This window comes from Homo sapiens, chromosome 12 (assembly GCF_000001405.40).
Source record: "Homo sapiens chromosome 12, GRCh38.p14 Primary Assembly".
NCBI lineage: Eukaryota > Metazoa > Chordata > Mammalia > Primates > Hominidae > Homo > Homo sapiens.
The window spans coordinates 85279368-85302026 of NC_000012.12; the positions used below are offsets into that span (position 1 = coordinate 85279368).

The 22659-nt window shown below is 32.7% G+C and overlaps 1 protein-coding gene across 1 annotated transcript, besides 1 other annotated feature; it reads left to right on the plus strand.

Annotated features, from left to right (window-relative positions):
- On the plus strand, positions 853-22417 carry ALX1 (ALX homeobox 1). Its single transcript, NM_006982.3, has 4 exons — positions 853-1120; positions 4205-4509; positions 7486-7614; positions 21788-22417. The coding sequence occupies exons 1-4, from the start codon at positions 895-897 to the stop codon at positions 22106-22108; spliced, it is 981 nt and encodes a 326-aa protein (NP_008913.2). The 5' UTR covers positions 853-894; the 3' UTR covers positions 22109-22417.
- Positions 944-1238: a silencer, noted in NCBI's record as "tiled region #79; HepG2 Repressive non-DNase unmatched - State 4:PromP, and K562 Repressive non-DNase unmatched - State 24:Quies". NCBI's record gives its function as "represses a minimal TATA promoter and a strong SV40 promoter by Sharpr-MPRA in HepG2 and K562 cells {active_cell/tissue: HepG2 | K562}" and the evidence as "EXISTENCE:reporter gene assay evidence [ECO:0000049][PMID:27701403]".

The window sequence follows — 22659 nt, forward strand, 5'->3', positions numbered from 1 at the left end:
AGAGGGTGTAGGGAATTGGTTGGCATTAGTATAATGGCTTCATTGCCTCTTGCTCGGCTTCTCTCTCCCACCCATCGCCACCGCGTCCACACTCCGCCGCATTCCAGAGAAAAAGAAAAGGCCACGGCCTCGTAAAGCTCCCAGCTGGCCCGGACCCCGAGCTCCTCCCGGTTAGAAGCCGAAGCGGCCCCTCTACTACGGCGGCTGCGATTAACAGTTGCCAATGCATCTGGTTCCTTGGGCTTCGGATTAATGTGAATCTTCCACGTAAACGATTTACGGATGAAATAAAAGCCTTTTAGAGCAATATTTCCTTTCAAGTTCTTAAGACGCCTCTAAATCTTTCTGGTAGTGAGTGGCCGGCATGGGGGCGGGGTGGGGACGGGTGGCTCAGGAAGGCGCAGGCAGTAGGGAGTGGAGGTTTAACTGCTTTGCGATCTCACCAAGATCTTCCGAAATGCCAGTCCACTGTCACGGCGGCAATGAATCTGGGTGTCAGGGGCTCGTCTCTCCTGGCATTTGTCTGAAATGGAGCTGTCTGTCTGTCTATCCTAGGCCTGGACGCCCTCTGCCCGGGTAAGTGGGGAAAATGGGGGTGGGGTAGGGGCGGAGGGGGACCTGGGGTGGAGTTAGTCGCCCGCCTATTTTCATATTCATTAGAACTGGGAGGCTGCCCGAGGAGGCCAGCTGAGTTTCAAGATATAAAAGCAACTTCGGGTGCTCCTTTTCCAGCCGGGACGTATTAAAGGGACCGGAGCGGGGCAGTTCCCGACGCCGCAGCGCTCGCTTTCCCTTCCCTCCTCTCTGGCCCTCCCTCCTCCCACCCACTGGCTCCCTCCCCCAGCGCTCTCCAGTTTCTGTGCCCCAGGAGCTACGCGACAGTCTTCCAGGATTATGGAGTTTCTGAGCGAGAAGTTTGCCCTCAAGAGCCCTCCGAGTAAAAACAGTGACTTTTACATGGGCGCAGGAGGTCCTCTGGAGCACGTTATGGAGACGCTGGACAATGAGTCCTTTTACAGCAAAGCGTCTGCAGGCAAATGCGTGCAGGCCTTCGGACCCCTGCCCCGCGCCGAGCATCACGTGCGCTTGGAGAGGACCTCGCCCTGTCAGGACAGCAGCGGTGAGTCGCTAGCGCCCCAGCCGGAGCCGCCGCAGCCCTTCCGCAATCGAAAATGCAGGATCGGTCTGATCAGGCAGGGAGGGAGAAAGGAGAAAAGTGGGAGCGAGGGACCTGGAAGGTGGAGGAAGGTAGTGGAAGGTGCTCGCTTTATGAAGCGGTGTTACTGCTGCTGCAGCCTTTGGGGGCGGAGGGCGGAGGGAGGGAGAGATCCAGCACCGGGTTGCCTCTGAGCGATTCTCCTTTCGCTGTAGGGTCTGGTCGCCTACGGATCCCTGAGTCCTTCTGTAATATTGGTTCCTGGAGTAAACTGATAGGGCGCTAAATAGAGCGTAATTGAGTCAAGACAGAACGCTTCCTCTGCGAGCCCGCCTTGCAGTCCGGGCGGTAGGAACTGAAATCGATCACAGCTCGTTAGAGTACGTCACTGTCGTCACGAGTAGGGAAAAAAAAACCGGAAAACAAAAACAAAAAACAAAAAACCCTTTGAGCTCCTTTAGGTAAAGATAAATCTTTTTAATTTTCCAAGACGTGGCGATATATTTTCAAAGTTTGAGGATCCCTAGATTTCTAGCGTGTGTGAATTTGTAATTTCTGCTTTTTTTTGCGTTTGCAATACAACACGCGTTGAATGTTTGTTAAACACTAAAGCACACTAAATAGCTTCGGGCAAACCATCCCCGGCCTAATCACTCATTCCCAGATTCTACGTTTTGTATTTTTATGACTTCACATTAAAAGTCACCTAAGGAGTCTTTGGAATGCTTCTGGGTGAAATCTTCAACTTTGAATGCCCAAGTATCTCCAAGTCAAAATGTTATCAAAACAAACCATCTATCTTTTCTATCTTGTAACCTAATACTAACCTATTATTTCAGATCGCGACAGCTAAAGCACGTTTACAATTCCAAGAGAACTTCTCCTTATCATTGTATATATTCCACAGTTAAGCTATAAGGGGCGGGTTGCTTTAAAATAACAAACGAATTAAGTGTGAAATATTTACAACAAGCCCCCTGCCCCCTATTTTATAGAAATTCAAAATCTGACAAAACACTGGCCTGTAGAAGCTCATTTTCTAAATATTTTGAACACAAGTTTTTTTCTTTTATTAATCTCATATTTAACTAATTTTATTTAACGTTGCAAGTAACTTTTGACTAAGGGTAAATCAAAAATAAAGGTGCAAATGATAGAGAAAATAATCAGCTAAGTCGTTTCAGTCATTTATTTAGAAAGATTCGAGCGTATACTTTTTGTTATTCTTACACTGAGTTGTTGGTTTTCTGGCTGCGTTTCAGACCTGGTATCTGTATTTGTGGAATTCTTAGGTGCATGCCTAACGTTATTTGAATTGACAGGTCTTTCTTTAATGATTCTGCAATGTCTTGTATTGACTCTGGATGGACTTGATCATAATATTTTATTTTGAATAGTCGAGAATCCAAAATAAGAGACATAATTGATGCGTTATCAACTTTTAAACAAATATCACACTATTAAGATGAATTATAACAAAGAAGTGTTAAGGAAGATGAACATAGGCAGTCATCCGCTTAATTTAGGAGAGATCCTGTCTTTCTCTTGAGATGCCCTTAGCCTCTCTGATGCTTCCCCTCCCCCATCCCTAATTGCTGCAGTTCCCCCTTTAATTTTGCCCAAGGAGATAGAACCGTTTGTTAATCAGTCATGGCTCTTCTTTATATTTGGTTTAACATCACATCTTCGTTTGCATGAAAACCGTTAATTTAAAAAATTTGTTATATATATATATAGACAAATTATAGTTGTATATATTTATGGGGTACAAAGTAATGTTAAGTTTTTTTAATGCAATGTGGAATGATTAAATTACGTTAATTGGCCATCACCTCAAATATTTGACATTTTTTATTATGAGAACATTTTTGAGAGTTACTCCGTTAGTGACATTGAAATGCACAGTACTCAATTATTAGCTATTGAAGTTATATGCGCATTAAACTTGAATATATTTGTATAATGATGAAAAGAGTTGTAAAAATACATTATGGGGGTAATTTTAAAAAAAGAAACAAATGAAAAAAGTATGATCATCTATTGGAAATTATTATTCTGGCTGGTTTGACTTTACTTTTTAAAAAGTGCTTCCCATTTCACTATGTGCATCCATTGCATTTGTGGGTGTTTGGCATTATATGATATATCTTTGTTTTATATCACACTGCAAGCATGCAATCAAATCTGAAGAAAATTACTGAAATTAAACATCCCTTAACAGAATGCCAGATGTCATGCTCTGTAATGTTTTAATAGCTGTTTTAATTTCTGTGTTTCAGCAGAGAAAATAGAAAAGTTTTCAATCCCAAAACTTATCTAACTAGCTAAGCAGAAATATGAAATGTTTTAAAAAGAACTGCGTAAGTTTTTAGGTAAAAAAAAAAAATGCTGCTTAAATCTAATTTCCGATAGAAAGCGTATTCAAAATTTGGCATGAAATTTATTTTGTCAATTTAGTAGATTATTTTTGAAGAAAAAGTGTAAATGCAGACATGGATATAAAGTTGAAATATTCAAAATTTAGTGGAAATAATGTCACATCTGAAATCTATCATCAGTACGTTTTACGTGGAGGAGGATAATAACTTTCAGATATTAGTACAGAGGTATTATTTAAGATTAAAATATATTTTCTGAGCCACATTAGTAGCTTGGTTTTATCTGCTGTGAATAAAACACATGACATTAAATTTGCTTCAGTTTTCAAAAATCATGGACACTTAAAGTTTCTTTCATGAAACACCCAGATCATCTTTTAATTCGAGTACATGAATTTAAGTAAAAAACATGTGCATAAACTTATAAATCCTGTAAAATAGAACTGCGGATTTTGGCAGATCATAGCAGTTGCATGAACACATTTTAAAATGGTATTTAAACCTGTCCTACAATGAATTAAGTATAGAAATGTGGTAATTGAATTAATACTAGCACAATAAATTATTAATAGGCCAATTTCTTGATACTCTCAATTACTTCTACTTATTGATTTAATTGAGATGAGTTTCACAATCCTGAGAACTGTTGTTTTTCCTCCTCTGGGTACAGTGAACTATGGGATCACTAAAGTAGAAGGACAGCCCCTTCACACCGAACTGAATAGAGCTATGGACAACTGTAACAGTCTCCGAATGTCTCCCGTGAAAGGGATGCAAGAGAAGGGAGAGCTGGATGAACTTGGGGATAAATGTGATAGCAATGTATCCAGCAGTAAGAAACGGAGGCACCGAACCACCTTCACCAGTTTGCAGCTAGAGGAGCTGGAGAAAGTCTTTCAGAAAACTCATTACCCGGATGTGTATGTCAGAGAACAGCTTGCTCTGAGGACAGAGCTCACTGAGGCCAGGGTCCAGGTAGGAGCCAAAAAGAGGCCTTGATGGATGGGATAGGAAAATAAATGGTGTTAGAATAATTGAATAAGTGCATTTTGCCACAAAGAAACAAACTGATTCCCTAGCTGAAGATGAGAAACGGAGTAATATATATGAATATATGTCTACTAAAATTATTTTTTAATTGCAAAAATTTTGACAACTCACGCAATATGTAAAACAAAAGAACACAAGTTATTACAGAGACATAAAAATTAACAATCATTCAAACATAACAATATGATAATATATCTCTGATTTTCAAAAGCAGTTTTTAAAGGATGAAAAGCAGAATCATGACTATTTAGTAATTGGTATATTTATTTGTTTTTTTTTTTTCGGTTTTATTAGCCACTAAGGTTCTTTTTTAGATTATATATCAGGTATTTGTAAATTATTTGTATAATAGCCCATACATCTAGAAATTTCTAGATTTGGAGGCATAATAAAAAAAAAAACAATCCCACAAATTCCCAATTGTTATGTATACCATGGAATGTTTTCACTATGGATAATTAAAAACAAGATCAAATAGTGCTCATTTACAATTTTATAGTCCTAGTAGTTGTCAACATGTAAATATTCCATTATAATGGTTAAAGTCTAGATAAATCATATGAATTTTGCATAGGCAATAAAAATAATGGCTTTAAAGTAAATTTTTGTGTATACTCAATTATGTTTATAAGATATATTCTAGTTATTAAATTGGATGATCCAATATGCTTAATTTTTAAAAATAATTTGAGAAAGAAAAATCATACCAGGTAAAATTTTACCTCTTAGGAGTACTTTATTTTGACTACATTTGATATTCTTAAACTATATTTTACTAGTTTCCAAGTAGTAAGAGTTTAAAATGCAACAATAATTCAGGATAATGGCCTTGGTCTTTGTGTGTGTTCTGACTCCTCTACAAAAGTATTGATTTTTGCAATTCCCATAAACTGCTAAAATGGGGGAATGAATAAAATAGTGAAAATTTTTGTTCTAAATCGAGTAACGGTATTTCTTCTTAAAATTGTAAGGCTCTTACATCATTAGAGACAACATCTGGTGGCACACGGATAACAAGCAGCAGATTTTTACTTGAGTTTGTGGAAGCAAATGGTTACTTTATCTTGGTTCAGGAAGTAAATATGTAGAAAGTTCATGCTAACAAAGAATTTTAGAATTGTCGAGTATTAACACCCGCTGTGTAAGTTTGAGATTTTTGTCTTTGTCTATATTTAAATTAGTTATACTTGTAACCATAAACAAATATGTTTGCACACAGAGTGACCAACTGTACATAATGCATCTTTTCCCCTTAACATTCACCAAGTCTTGATTAATTTTTGTCTGAGAACATGCACAGAGAGCCAACTTGAACTTAATTTACTCAGGTCGTTCTCTTTCCTGCTTTGCACATAAGAGTGGTAACTATTACTCATTTTAAGGAAATTGTCAAGTTCTTTTTGTCAATGGAAAAAAAAATAAAACCCAAAAACGTATTACTAAATTCCCTTAGTGTGTTCCTGGGGCTCATCTGCGGAGACAGCAAGAAAATTTGATTTGTTTTTTGTTGTTGTTGATGTCTTGAGCCTTGGCATAATGGATAATATGCATTTATCAGCAGTGTACTAAAACTATAATGAACATGTAGCTCTCTGGCTCATTTCAATTGCTGAAAACTCTGCAAAGTGCCATCTTAAATTTGTAATGTGTACTAAAAAATTAAACTGAGTATTAATATGTTGCCATAATGGTGAAGGTAAAGATATACAAGATTAGAATTGAGTATGAAAAAGAGTGAAAATTTCAAGTAAACTTCAACAAAAGGCTTTTACAACTTGCATTTTTTATATTTGATTTCTAGCCTTTTTCCTAAATATTTTATATTCTGAACATAATTGTGTGAAGAAGACTAGATTCCCAAAAGCTACTCCTATAATGTTCATTTAAAAACATCCAAGTATATATATTGAATATAATCTTCTGCATCTCCCTTTAATATTAAAGTGAAGATATTGGAATATTACAGGTATGAATTAATGAATATCCAACCTGCTGAGGAAGATGGTTCTTATAATAAATACTTCTAATAGGTAATTAGAGAAATTGTGGAAGATAGCTTAGTGACCTTAGCTGCCACAGTAACTGATAGACTTTCTTGACACTTGGTTCTATCTGCCCTATTTCTTATATTATTTCCATTACCTGTGCTTTAAATTAGAGAAATTACGTAAAGATATCCGAGCATTTTCATAAGGGAAAATAAGTTGCATAATGTATGTAATAAGCACATTCACGTATTTTAAAACCATAGTTCAACTTTAGATGATTCCTTTTTACCTATAATTCTTGTCATGCTTATTATAATATGTAATCTCATTTTTTCCTATTTCTAGATAATCATGATGTTCCTGCTGCTGCCATATATTTAGGTGTAATCTTTATGTTTAAAATTTTAAAAGATTATGTAGGTATGAGCACAACTGAGAAGAGCTTTCACTTTTGTGATATATTTTAAAGATAAGTTTTAATAGACTCAGATATTAATTTGCTTATAGATTGACTGAGTTTACGTTACGGCATATACATCTTCCAGACTTGCAGCATTCTCTTAAAGGAGACTTATCCATGACAATGTGGAGATATATGGAGTATTCAGGATCATATAATCTAATTGCTTTTTGTTTTCCATAAATGAGAAAACAGAGGCTCAGACGTATCAGATGTATTTCCCGAAAGTCTCCTGCCTCTTTCTATTAAATTATTTTGTCTCATGGGAAAATCACTTACCACATCAAGATACAAGAAAAAGTAAAATCTGTGGATCCTTTTCTAACATAAATACATTTCTTTTTACGTAATTTTTTTAACCTGGTTTACCTTTCTTGTTTGATGTCTTTTAACATCACATTTGCTTTATCAAATATTCCTTAGCTAAAATTCTAATTTTTATTAAATAATTAGGTTTGGTTTCAAAATCGAAGGGCCAAATGGAGAAAAAGGGAACGTTATGGCCAAATACAACAAGCGAAAAGCCATTTTGCTGCCACCTATGATATATCAGTTTTGCCAAGGACTGACAGCTACCCACAGGTATGCTAAACTACACAGAATACTGATCAAGAAAAGGATATTTGGTTTGTATATTCTTAAAATGGTTAGCATAGGCTTTATTATATGTAAGATAATAGCCAAGAATGAAAATCTAAGCTTCAGAAAACATTCTTCATGTCTGCTAAGTTTTAATTTTTCTGAATTATTTTCTTGTTGTTTTCTTACAGAGTCATTCATTTAAAAATATTTCAGGGTATTTTTTTCTTTTGAATTTTGTTGTATATTGCCACCAATGAAATAGCATCATTTAATGATACAGGTATTTTAATTATCCTACATTCTAATTACTCAGACTCTCTTCCTTTTGTTAACTTTTAAAAATACTGTAAATAGAGTGTTGCTTAGCATGCAATCTCTGTGGATATTGTTTTATGAACTATACTAAAACCTGATGTCAAATGTGGCCTATTAAGCCCTTAACTCCATTTAAAAATGTGTCTCTTTTTCTATGTTTTTTTTTTTTCAGTTTTCAAATTGCTTATTCTCTAAAGGTCCACATTTGGTCCTGTTTGACTTAAAACAGAGATAGAATTAGTATCAGACATAATTTTAAAAGTTAATCACAGATGAGTAACAGCTTCCCTTTATAATGGGTGCTCTTTTACTTCATTACAAAAAGTGTTAGAAATTCTTTTTCTTCTCATTTTTCTTTTTCAATATAAGACTATATATTTCTTTTTCATATTTTGTAATGAATGTAAATGTTTGTCTTTCTAATTTATTTTGTGTCACTTTTTCCTAATACTTAATAATGATATTCAGAACTGTATTTGATACATGATGAAAAAAAACCTACGTTATAAGCAACGAGCTATGCATTATTTTGTTATTTATTATTTAATGATATGCATTATAAGAGACCCATGTGAAAACACATATGAAACATATATGCTGGAGAAATACCTTGATAGTTCACTAACTAGATGATCTGAACCCCAAACTTGAGTATTCATTTTCTTCAACACTATGAGTACAAATTCAGTTCTTTAATGTTGTTCTTTCCTTGTGTTCCTATGCCTTTTATGATTCTTAAAAACCAGTTTTAGAAACCTCACTCCTCCAGATAAATCCCCCAAATTTATTAATATAATATTATATGTTAAATAAAAGAAGTCTTGGAGGTCACCTTGTTCAACTCCTTCCTTTAAAAAAGTTATGAAAACGGGCTCAATTGAGTTAAGGAATTGGTTTGTGATCATACAAGTGGGTTCCTGCAGGAGAGACTGTAAAGGTCGCTACGTCTAAACCTTTACCCAATGGCTTGCTAGAAGACTATTCTTATGGATACCTTTTCAATAAATGCCTCCTATCTCCTTGCCATAGGAGGAATCTTGTTTCTCTTTTAAAATTTATCTTAAAGAGGTTACCTTATGTTTTCTCCTATTTTAAAGCATGAGGCTACCTCTGGTGGTTACTTACCATCATAGGGCTAGTCAAATTTTGTTTGCCAAATATTTTTGAGTGCCTTAGTTGAGTCAGTGTGAGTTAGTTTGAGTGCCGTTAGTTTCTAAACAAAATTCTGTAAAAATCTTTCCCCTCTAGGCTGCAAGCTCCATGAGGACAGGGACTGCAGTGTCTTCATGGTTATTAACACTACAGTAGCCCTCACTGTATATCTGGGCACTGTTCTAAGCAGATTACATATATTATCTCATTTAATCCTCACAACAACCTTATGTGCTAGGTGTTACTAATTGTCTCCATTGCTCAAATGAGAAAGAGGTAAGGTGAAGTTCAGATTTGACCAGAGACAATTTGGTTCCCACTTGCCAGATTTTAACCTGACAATAGACTGTCTCTACCTGTGAATATATTTAAATGATACCAAAGGAGCATAAAGTTTGAGCTGCATTATTGTAAGTCTGCGCTTTAGTGTCAGGAGCCACAACCAGAGAAATAACAATAAAAATATAGGTGAAATGGAGAATGGTTTATATCATTTTGAACTACTTGACTGTGGTGACTTTAGACGTAATAAAGTAACAAATTATGAGCTCTTCACATGGATTTTAAACTCTTACTAAGTATATTCCACAACACTTGACTATGACTACTTTTTTGTGCATTTTATTCTTTCAGTCTTCATTTCCTTTCAAACCCCATTTCTGTCTGTTTTCAACTTTTCTGTCCCTGTACGTTGGTTGTTTTATATTTGACTCTTCTTGCTTCTTTGATAAAGCAATCAGAATAGGGCCTAGCATCAATTAAGACCTATATAAAGGGTAAAGCATTCAGAATAGTGCATATTCTGAATCTAAAACTTTATACAGCTTTAAGACATGTATAAATGCTCAATATGACTCAGTGTACTCTGAGTAACCATCTCATTTCCCTAAGATTATCTTACCATTGTGTTATTGTACCTCAAAGCTTTATATATTATTAATTAAAAGAATGAGGTAACCTAGACACCGATGGAGGAACGGACATGGTACACCAAATTATATATTTGATCATCTTTTTCACTCCAATGAAAAATTAATTTAAAAAATTTCCCCCCACAAATCATGGGAATGTTGCACTAATTATTCCTCATAATTTTGTATACATTGGCTATACCACCTGATAATTTAAGAATGGAGAACATATGTTGGAATTACTTCAACAGTGCCAATCATGAATAATAATAAAAATTAATACCATGAAGTCCATAGTACTTTCTTGTATTGGTAAATCATTTAATGTTTGGTTACCAAAATTTCCGAAATTATGTGGCTGCAACTCCCCACTGTAGATACTGGATAAAGCCGGGGGAATTTTTATTTTAACTTAAATATATACAAGATACTTTTTTAGTTTGTTTGAAAAAATAATTGGGCCAAGATCATGTCTCTCAAGAGTTAGCCTAAATGAAATGTTTTTTTTATCATGGGGCTTGAAAATAGGAACTTGTAATGGGAGAAATAGAAACAGAAGTAGAATCCAATATCTCAGTCTAATAAGACATTGGATTTGGTGACTGTTAATTACAGAAAAAATTATTAATTTCAGAAAAGTTGGAAACTAGAAAATGTTAGAGGCAGGACAGAAATAAAGAATTAGCAATTTGGCAGAAAGAAAAGCCATACATAGAAATACATGAAAAACAGAGATAGTTTAGAAAATGATCTCCTCAAGCCTGCTCAGTATGTACAAGCATAATATGTTTATTTCTATATAGTAATTAATACTTTCTAATATGTTCTAATAAATACTTTGTTTCAACTGGCCGTCTTTTTACTATAGTAGCAACAGCTGTAACAGTAAAAATAATTACTAATAATTGGGGGCATATTTAAAGCCAGACACTGTGCTTCCTTCTTGTATCTATTAACCTGTTTAATTTAAGCTCAGGTTTTCTGAGCTCAGGAGCCCAAAGATCTTTATGTAACATTATCTCTTTAATTCATCACTGAAGAGTGAAATTATTCAAATTGGATCCTAAAATATCACATCCTTTTTGGAAGGTAAAAATGCTTCTGGTTTTAAATTTATAAACATTTAAAAAGCCTAAACACCTCATTGACTGTTTCAAGATTTTTTTCTTAAACTTACTTATCTTTGATAGCAAACAAATAAGAAAGTGAGAGACGTGATGTTCATATTTAAATATTTTAAGGTAGTATATTTTGATGTACTGACAACAGTATCTTTTTGTTTAAGTTCTTTATTTTGGCTCAAGATATCAGTTGCCATTTGGCAATGCTGTGATTTAACTAAATTAATCTATTTATTTTTCCTCAAGAGTTAACGTTTTTGAAAGCATTCTCATTGCTTGGGATGAATTTGTTTCCTCTGTCTTGAATTTCCCTCCCTCACCTAAGCCATATTTACTCCATGAAGCCTCTGGGATGTGCCATCTGTCTGCACATCACTTTCTCACTGACATTTTGTTGGGTTGTATTAAAGGTCTGACTTCCCATTTACAATGTAAAATATTTAAAAGATGACCCAGTTACTAGTCACCTTTGTATCACCAAGGATGGTCTGCTATGAATTGAGCAAATTATATAGACATTGGATAGATATGAGTAATAGTACAGGTTCACTTCAATATATTAATATATTAAGTAGTGTATCATAAAACAAAAATAATCAATTTTCAATAAAACAGATTCTGAATTTGTTATTAACCAGTTTTGTGATATAAGCAATTAACTTTTCCTCAATTTCTTCCTCTGTTCAAAAAAATAGGCTAGAAAGATTTTGCAGACACTTTTCAGCTGACTTTTATTCCAAAGTTATTTGCCTTTCAAAACAAATATATGCCATGCACTGTTGCAGGGATCAGGAATATATAACTGATCTAGACAAAATTCCCTGCTTTGTAGAAAGACTAAAAACTGGGTAATATTTGTACTAAATTTGCAAACACTTCTTGGTGCAAACTAGGCCCAAGAAACCATAAATCTAAATAATTTTGGCCTTAAATTTAAAAAGTGAGCAAAGATCTAGTGATATTACATTTTAACTTGTTTCTAATATGGCAAAACCAAAGAATTTTAAAAATAATTATTTTAGTGAATAAAATAATTTATCTTAAGGTATAAGTATTTCCTTGAGAATTATAATTACCATTCATTTCTTACAAGGAACTTTACAATTTCATGTTCTTAGGTTTGGATTACATGAGCATTGACATTATTATCTAGATAGATAACTTTGAGTTACAACTTTGACTTGATCTTCAGATTCTTTATTTGTAAAATGGAAGTATTGTTGGTGCTGGTGTTTGTGGTGTTGATAGTGTAGATGATCAAGACGATGATGGTTTTTCTGTTATTGTGAAGACTAAATGGATTTCCGAAAAGGAAAGCCCTCTGTTTATAGACTACAGAGGTGAATCCTGGGATTTGAAGAGGGCCAGGGGTTAACATTAATGACTATGAGCTTTCCAGTCAGAGAGGTGTGGGTTCAAGTTTTGGCTTTTCAGTTTAATAGCTTTTAGACCTTTGGCAAATGAATTTACCATGAGGAACAGTTCTTTTCATTTATAAAATGGGGGTAAAAGCTCATACGATGCTTGTGAATGTTAAACAAACTTGTTTATGCAAATTACTTAGGGCATTGCCTAGTACAAAACAGAACTTAATAAGTAGTAGGAATTCTATCATTTCCATTAGTCATTATTAATTTTGTTCTAAAGTACCTGCCTCTCCAGGTAGCTAAATTGCTTGTTATCTTATGTTGTAGCGTTTTAATTAATCCAATCTCTGAGTAAATTTACTATGTAGGGATCTAGGGAAATATTAATTTCAGTTAAACATACTTTCCTTTTTAAATTGAAAACCAAATACGGTAACTTTAGAAAAGTTTAAGTATATATTCAATTCACCAGAATTATTTTCTTGTAAATATTTTCATCACAAATTTCAGAAAAAGAATTGAAGTGCTTTTCCCACCAAAATTTTGAATGAGGTTTCACTGAGTATTGTATAGTGAAAACTATCTCTAAATCTATGCTTACCAAATGTACCAAGGAATCCACACAGTGTCTTGTCTTCCGTTGTATTATTGAGGACTTCATAAATATATGCCACTTAGAATTTGAACACGCCAAGAGGTAGATTCAAGTTATAGGTAATTTGTGGTCATTTTTATAATTTAATACATAGATTAAAGCTGTAAAACATTTTAGTTTAACACATTCTATTTGAAATATTGTAATTATACAATTAAAAAATGAAATTTTAAGGTTTTCATGTAATAGTAGTTCCCATATAATAGACTGTAGACATATTGCTTATCTACCCTGGTTTTAATGGCAGTTTCTATATTAATCTTAATGGTTGTCTTAACTTAAGCTAAATAAGGAACATAGGACTTGTCTCCTTCAACCACTGTGGTTTATAATTAAAAGGCATTTGTAGCATTTTTTACCTTTGGAGAAAATATAATTTTGTCACTATAATTTCTATTTTTTCCCAAATATTTGAAGTAAACAAACCAAAATCTTTTAAAAATATTACTAATATAGCGGTAATTAATACATTGTATGATGAGTGCTTTTACATCCATGAAACAACCAATGAATGGTCATACAATGATACAGTGAAAATTCTTGTATGACTTATGACCAAAATGTTACCATCATTTTCAAAATATCATATTGATATTGCACAATTTGTCACTGATAATAAACACAAATATTTTAAGTGACAGAAGAAATATAATGATAATCTACCTTACTAAAATATAGTTTTTGCAGCGAGTAAATATACTGATTTAATTAAATTTATATAGTTTAAATAAATATGAATAAAATATTTATATATGTATGTGTGTATATATATATATAAGTTATGTGTAGCATGAGACAATTTTTGTCAGTATCATTAGGTGAAGGTACAGTTAGCTACAGTGAATTCTTTTCTTAATTTTTATTTTGTTGAAATATTTTAATTTTAATGAAATGGAATTCATTTAATGAAAAAAATTTTAATAAAAATGAAACATTTCATTTTTATTAAAACTTTAATTAATTTTTATTCTGTTGCATATACAAAGACTCTAAAGAGGCAAAGAATATCCTCCAAAAGAAACAAAGTGCACTCCTGTCAATTATGAAAATAATTAGGCCTGTTCTTTTGAAAATGTAATATTCTAATGTGACTGTACACAGTAAGTTAACAAAATTTTTTTAAATAAGTATTTTTTATTTTACAAGGAAACTAAATCAGTAAGTTGAATAGATAACCAAATAAATAAGAAGAAAATAAAAATGAATGTTGCAGAGTGCCAACGTTAGCTTATACATATAAAAACCTCACAAGAAGATGGAGAAATAACAGGCAGAAAATTAAGCCATCAAAGCCCAGGAAGTCTATTAGCACAGAACTGTTGTTTAAAATCTGCAGTTCACCCTATTGTTAGTGTGAACCTTATGATATACTTTAATCCAGAATTATATGCATGCCATGTTTATGAAGCCTCATGTGTCTATGGATTTTCTTTTTTATTCTGCATCATAGACATTAAATAGGTAAACTTCCGTACAAACTCACAGTTGATTTTTAAAATTACAAAAATAAAATGTCGACTTTGTAGTTAATACAAAGAGATGATGAGTAAAATCAATAGCTTCACTTAATATTTTAAGAATAAATTCAAAGTCCATAAATGACTCCAAGCAAGATCTCTAAAATTAAAAATTTTCTGTACAAATTAAAATATTTGTGTATTTTATTCATATTCTAAGCTATTTATGCATAAAAGCTTAATTTACAAGCTTACATTTTTATCTTTATTTCTTATATTGTGAATTTTGTTTCAATAGGATAATTTCATCACTAAAATGAATCAGACACTGATGAATCAGCAATAGCTATCATACATGTATTAAAATACATGAAAAATAATGCAACAAGTGTCTGGAAAATCCTCCATATGATAATTATTGCTTGATAGTAATAAAATAGCAAAGGTTAGGTGTTACCATTTTATTTCTTCCTTAAATGAGTTGATTTGAAAACTTTCATTTTAAAGCAATCGTGAGAGTTTCTATAAATCTTCTTTTTAAAAGTCACTTAATATAGAATTTAAGAATACAGTCAACACCAAAGAAAAATGTTCTTTATGTTCTTATATCTTGGACTTGGAGCATTTTTCAAATATTATTTGAATAATGAAAAATGTAAACACATTTATATGATGTTATGCTGAAAATTTACAGACATTAAAATTTCTTATTAAGCTTCGTGCTTTTAATTTTGCACTAAAAGTAGACATACACATTTATTTTTCTGCTAAGCAGTTTTCCTCTTAAATTATCAGTCTCATATGGGTGTGATATTTAATGGTGATTTTTTTTTTAATGGAAAAGTCACCTTTCTTGTTTCAAATCTCTGTATACATATCTAAGATGGAATTTTACTAAAAAATAAAAGTGACAGTATTTAGTATATGATCTGTTTCTGATGAATAAATGATTTCTAATCACTTTAGTTTAATAATATATATTGGAAAAGTACTTTAAGAATGTTTAAAATGTCAATAGACTTATCAAAATCTAAATATTTTATATATCACCTTAAAATATTTTTTGGTGAAAATTAGATCTAATGAGAAGACACTGATGAAAATGTGCCCTCACTTTTACCTTAGGCAGTACCTAAAAAATACTCAGATTAATCTTTTCATTGCTTAATTAATTCAAGTTGGGATCTTTTTTTTTCAGGTAGACAAAGTCTCAGTGTGTGTTAGTTACTGGTGGTAAATTCAATATTTAAAGATTCATTTATACTCTTTCTCCCTGCCAGCAACTTACTGATGTAGTAAATAGAAAAGTTAATGGGATCCTAAAGTTAGTCAATAGCTAAAAATATCTGCATGTTGCTAAGCATATGATTCTTATTAATATTTTGTCATGTAAATGTTACAGGAATATACTAGTGAATTTCATAAAAGTCTCTTAAAAAATTTAGCTGTTTTCCCAGAAATCAGTGTTTTCATTTTTAAGAGAACATGTACAAATCTAGTAAATTCAATTACATAGTGATACTGTCTTAATACATTTATATAGTATTAAATGATATACAGAAAATTAATAAATGTAAACATTATGCCAAAGAGGAAAACCAAATCAGTTTTTAGATTTTCATGTAAAGAGGTATTGCTATAACATCATCACAAGTAACTCTATAAATCTCTGATCTCTGTCTTTTAAAGTATCCTTTAATTCCCACAGGAAAGTGTGTGAGCATGTGATGCGAGAATTGTGTGAGTGTGCACATGGAGTGTGTGTGCAGACGTATGGGTATGTATGTGTGTTTATGCAAGTAAATATGATCGATGTTGGTGGCAGGAGATAGGAGCACTCTATATATAGATGAGAAGTAGAGTTAAATAAACTTATTTTAGTAGAAAAACGTTACTTAATTAGTTGTTTTGGAGATGCTTTAAAATTAAGGGAAGGTTGTTACTTACATATTTTCATGTTTAGTATTTCTATGAAATTTGATAGTGTTGTTTCTTCTAAATAGCACTAATATTAGGATATTGACTATAAAATGCTATCATGAAACTATTTTTTTGTTACACCGTGCTATTTTACAATTAAGTAAAAAACTAACAAACTCACTATTCTTTTAAAAGGCTTTTTTAGAAAAATATATTAAAAAGTACTCACTATATAAAATCAGTAAATATATTAGAAATGTAAACCAGGGTTAGAACAACAAAATCCACTTTGTAGTTGTGATTACAAAGAATATATTCATATCAAGGTTCTAAGGTAAAAAATAAATAATTTTCTACCCATAACTTACTGTAGTACTTGAATTTATTACAAATATATATCCACAGTAAAAAACTCTTAGTATTTATGTTTATGTTAATATATATTTATGTATTTTCCCTTCTCCTTCCTCTCTACTGCTTTTAATTCCTTGGAAAAAAATGAGTATTAAATGAATTAGGTTTCAGTTTGGAATAAATAAGACAAAAATAAAACTTTTCTCTAAAATTCCAAAGTCATGGGATAATTAAGTGTTAACATTTATTTGGTTAGAAAAACATGAAGGGGCAAACGTTCAAAGTGAAGTGCAGTAAATCCGCTGTACTTCCATTCATGCTAATGGGAGGTAGTTGGCTAAGTTCCCTGGACAGAGTTCCCTGGACAGTGCTTTGAACACACCCCTAATATTTAAAAAAAAAGTTTCAGAGAACGTTAAAACATGAAATGTTTTTAGATTCTCCACTCCTTTTAAACACAACAAAGAAAAAAAAATAAAGGCAGTCAATCTTTTTCTCTTTCTTTTTAAAAAACACACATACAAGAAGGGTATGGGAATTATTTGTTTCTGGTTGTAAAGCCCTTGAATATTAAACAGAGGCCTACGAAAACACCGTAAAATTATATGGTGCCAGGTATTGTCATTGCAGTATCTATGAAATAGTTCAAAATAAGAGTAGTTATCCTATTTAGGAAGAAAATTAATATTTTTTTACTTCCAAAATTGAACCACCAATATAATTTTTCCTTTAACGAATCAGAGTGCGATTTTGATGGGCTTCCCAGTTGACAAAAAAGTAATAGGCACTTTTAGATAATATGCACATGGATTTATACTTTCCAGGGCATAGTTTAAAAATTACTGCCTATATGAGAATATATTGGTGTAGGGATGGAGGAACAGTGTGAGTCCAGCTTGATAGCACTATAGTCAACCCTTAGCTCAAATAATGTTGTTGTTTAATCAGATCTAGATGGCCTAGAACAAAGATTTTATCTGCCAGCTTTTTCCTACAGCAATCAGATGATATGCAGTGTATGATATTCTGGTGTAAATGCTATGTATTGGTAAGGGTAAACGGTATTGATAAGCTCAGACATATCCAGAATAACATGATCTGAATGATACAGTGTCTAGAAACCAAGTCATATGAGGAATGGTTAAAAGCACTGGAGATGTTTACCTGGAGAAAAAGGATTTGGGGGTTGTATCATCATGCCCGATTACATTTTAAGATTTTTACATGTAAGAAAGATGATCTTATTCTACGTCATTATAGGGCACATAAATGGAAGCCATAGGTAGAGGTAGAGGAATATAACAGCTTACTTTTATAGAAAAGAAATGGAATTTTTTTTTAAACAGGTGAGCTTCTTATCACAAGAGGTAAACAAAATTGGTGTACAAAGAATTTTTCATTTGGAAGGAAGTTGGACTCCAGTAGTGTTTCCTAATTTCAATTGATTTTCAGAATTCCATGTGTGTATTTTATTACTATTATTTTAATACAGAGCCCCTGAGCCATACTAAATGAATCAGAGTCTCCAAGGATATGTATCTGTTGTGGAGAATCAGTGTTTAATAATAAAAATAAAGAACTTCCCAGGTAAATGCAGTTAGCAAGGTCTAGGAATGTAATTTTCATGATCACTGTTAAGATTATTGAGTATGGTGATTTGGGAGTTCATATTATGAAACAAAAATTTTGATATATTAACATAAATCATCCATAAAATTTTGATTATATCTGCAAGATGGATCAGTCCATATTTTTCAAGCACTTAATAACTTTGTATTAAGGACTTACCTTGTACCACATTAGACCTGAGGATGACAAAACAGTTGTGAGAAATAATTGTGGGTTTTTCTTTCAGAGAGTAGAGACTATGAACCTACACAAAGTAGGGATAATGAGTAAATAAATAATTTCAACTCATAAAACTAGTCATTATTACAGCATTTCTAAGGTTTCCTAGGTTGAGATTTGACCTCCACCATTGGAACTATGCAATCTTGGGTGATCTTCTTCAGCTCTGTTCTATAGTGTTACCATCCTCAAAAGGGGGATAGCAAAAGAACACGCTGTTTAGTGTACTGAAACAATTAAAAGTGTTCATAATATATTTAACATAATGCCTCACGCATGGTAATTAATTGGTAACCATTAGCTATAATGAACATGGTCTTGAGCATCATCATCAAATGTTTAAACACCCAGAGGGCAGGCTTCAGAGAAGTAAAATCACAATATACCGAGGATATTATCTTTTATGAGTTGCATCTAAATAAATTTACAATGTGGAAACCAACAATGTTTCTAAAGTCAAATAAAGATTTGCTGGAAATTTAAAAAAGGAAAGATCAGCAGTGGTGCTGGGGAGGGGGAAGAAATAGATATTTTGAAAACAAGATAGATCAGTAAAAATGTGTGAGGATATCTCTACCTATGGGAATAAATGACAATCTTCAAAATATTTAGGGTATCTTCACAAGCCCAACTAAAATATTGTTATCATATTTACTTTACCAGTCTGTTCTGCCCAGAAAAACATGTCTATATGTTAGAAATTATTTCATCAAAAGTAATGCATATAACGTGCTTGATCATGTCCAGATAAGAAGTTTTGATCAAAATAAAATTTGCTTTTTTATGTACTCTACAGAATATTTTTCAATTTATAGGTAGATTTATGTTAATTATGTTAGGGAGGCAATATTTTCTTAATTTATATCTATAGGTTACCTCCCTTGCCTTTACCTTTCTGATTTTAGCTTTTTCATCTAGTTGGTGAACATATTTCTGTGCATTTGGAATATGAATGAATGATTTTAATAAAAAATTCAAGAAACTGTATAAATCAAGCAATTCTTTAACAAACAAAATATAAATAATCCTTCTCTTTCATTATGTTGTCTTCCTTTTTTTTTTTTTAAGTAAGCAAGCAAAGTTCACTTTCATTTCTGAAAGCTCTTTTATCAGACATGTGACTATGGTTTTTGCCGAGTAGCACAATGTGTGTGATTGAATGTCAGAGGAAAATCACGCAGATGAAGTTAGAAGAGGTAGTTTGACAGAGTAATGACATTAGCAGCCCTCTTGTTGGTTTGATATACATAACTCAGCAATCACTGATACCAGTCATTATGTTTTGCCTAAAGTGGAACACATATAGTAGAATGAGCCAGAATTAGAACATAGCCTGAGACAATTTAAGGATTAACAAAATATGCAAATCATATATATATATAAAATATATATGTTTAGATATGGATATGTAGATTTCTCTCTTTGTCTCTTTCTACATATGTATATATTTAACAACTTTAAAGCAGCTTATACATATATTTATATAAAGAATTATTTTTTAAGACAACCCAGATATGTAAGCACCTTGCCAATCACTGAAACCCCACCTAAAGGTTGAAATTACTTATTAAGGTTTTTCTCTTACGTTTTGAACCTGGTTAATCAGTCCTTTCTTGAGTGACAGAGTACCTTTTTACCAGTGTGATCTAGAAGATTTATTAACATATTTTTTGCTCTTATTTGAAAATTAGTTGCCATAGAAAGTACAACTCAAGCATGGGTATTGTAAGACTACACCAGACCTTATATGTAGGTGCCTGGAATCTTTATGTAGAAACAAATATAGGAAGACATATGTGTCCTACTCATTGATGATTCTACTCTTACATCATGATTTTAAAAGATAAGGAAACCTGATGTGATTAACATGTGTATTGCTGCTATGTTCTAGTCCAAATGTATTATAATAATGTTGCTAAAAGCATTCAGTTTTATTTCATCTTCAAAGGGCTGCATCATAGTATTACTATCCCATGCAACATTTTCTTTTTTTACCTTCCCCAGCTCCTGCCATTTGTCATGATTTTCTCTGAGCTTCCCAGTAACGTATGGGGTTCCTGCTTTTGTTTGTTTAAATAGCTTGTATATTAAGATTGAGATATGTCCTACTTAAAATTCATGTTACATAAGGTCTATATCATGTTTCTTTTACATGCTAGTAACTTTAGATAAATTTGTACTTGTTAATATTGCATTGAATTGTTTCCTGTGGAGATTTAATAATACGAAGTGTGAATATCTCGGGTGTGAATGATAAAGCAGTTTCTACTCTATAGGAGTACTATATAACACAAGAGTAACTGCATTATACTCATCTGATGTTTTTGCTAAATAGTTGCACATCTTTCTCAGCTATGATTCCATTATTTGGTAAAGGCCCATGTTTTAAAATTCTAACTTTGTTTTACATGTCACATGTCTGTTTCAAATTCATTATATCATACATAAATCACAGAATAAATTTTTAAAATATGTATATTTACATATTTTGTAATTTCCCAGATTCTCAGAGCTGTTTCTTCAAGACTATAGGATACGAAAAAGCAATAGGAGGGCAAACATGTTCCAGAATAAGTTTGATCAAAAATATCTTTGCAGAACAGTCTATTGTCAGCAATGGTTTCCAACGAAAACTGCCACACCAGGAGTCCCAGTTAGAATTTTTTTTAAAAATGCATTTGTGTCATTTTGTTTAGAAAGACAAAAACTATCTTTAAACTTAAAACCAGATTTTAAACTACTTTTCTAATCGTATGAATTGGTCATGACTCAATCTTCCAGATTCATTTTTAAAATCATGACTATGAAAATAATACTTTTTTATAGGAGATAGACATGTTTGAGAGTACGTTATGTGGCCAAGAATGTGAGATTTGTTGCTCTATTTCAGTATAACAAACTAGAAGGATCTCTCAAGTAATTATTTTTTAGTCATTGTTGTATGTAATTACAGACCACCCAATAGGAGCAAACAATGAATAGTTAACCAAATTTAGTAAATACAACTTAACAAAAGTAAGAGAACAAAAGTGAGAACATGTAAATGTAATATTTGTTGTTTTATATATTCCAGATTCAGAACAATTTGTGGGCAGGAAATGCAAGTGGTGGTTCTGTGGTTACTTCATGCATGTTACCACGTGACACTTCCTCCTGTATGACACCTTATTCTCACTCGCCTCGGACAGATTCCAGTTACACGGGGTTTTCAAACCACCAGAACCAGTTCAGCCACGTGCCCCTCAACAATTTTTTCACTGACTCTCTTCTTACTGGGGCAACCAATGGACATGCATTTGAAACAAAGCCAGAGTTTGAAAGGAGGTCTTCCAGTATCGCAGTTCTTCGAATGAAAGCCAAGGAGCACACCGCCAATATTTCATGGGCCATGTAACATACAGTACTCTTTTATTTTTCTTTTAATAGCAAAGTTAAACATTCTTATTTCTCATATTTAAAGGATACCACAATAAGCTGCTGTGTGTGGAATTGCTAAAGGTCAAGATATTCAGTGAGACCAGCTTAAATGAATAGTTGTTATTTAACATTAAAATCTAAGAATGAACCTCTGAAAAGACTAAATAGGTTTACCATGTGCCAGTCTCCACAAACCCTGTTTTAGTAGTAAGGTTTTCTTTTTCTATTGTACAAGTCAATGAAATATGATCACGCAACTTATTAAAGAATAAATGTGTTAAACAAATTCTTCTGTTATAGATTGATTTATGTTACTTCTGTATAACAAGAAATCTCATGTAAAATAATACCTGATAAAGAAGGAAATGCACTGGGGAAAATGTCAAGATGCCAAAGTCGTCAGGTAAATATTGAATCAGGGTGTTCTGGGGAGTTAACTGCTCTCTCTCTCTCTCCAAAAAGCAGTGGGCAAAAACCCTGTTGCTGAGAATTTATTTTCAAGCCTCATTTTTGTTTTTGTTTTTACCC

Excerpts from the sequence above, each read along its gene's own strand:
- ALX1 (NM_006982.3), top strand. The coding sequence starts at position 895 with ATGGAGTTTCTGAGCGAGAAGTTTGCCCTCAAGAGCCCTCCGAGTAAA. Across the intron at positions 1,121-4,204 it reads GCCCTGTCAGGACAGCAGCG|TGAACTATGGGATCACTAAA; the intron begins GTGAGTCGCTAG and ends CTCTGGGTACAG. Across the intron at positions 4,510-7,485 it reads TCACTGAGGCCAGGGTCCAG|GTTTGGTTTCAAAATCGAAG; the intron begins GTAGGAGCCAAA and ends TTAAATAATTAG.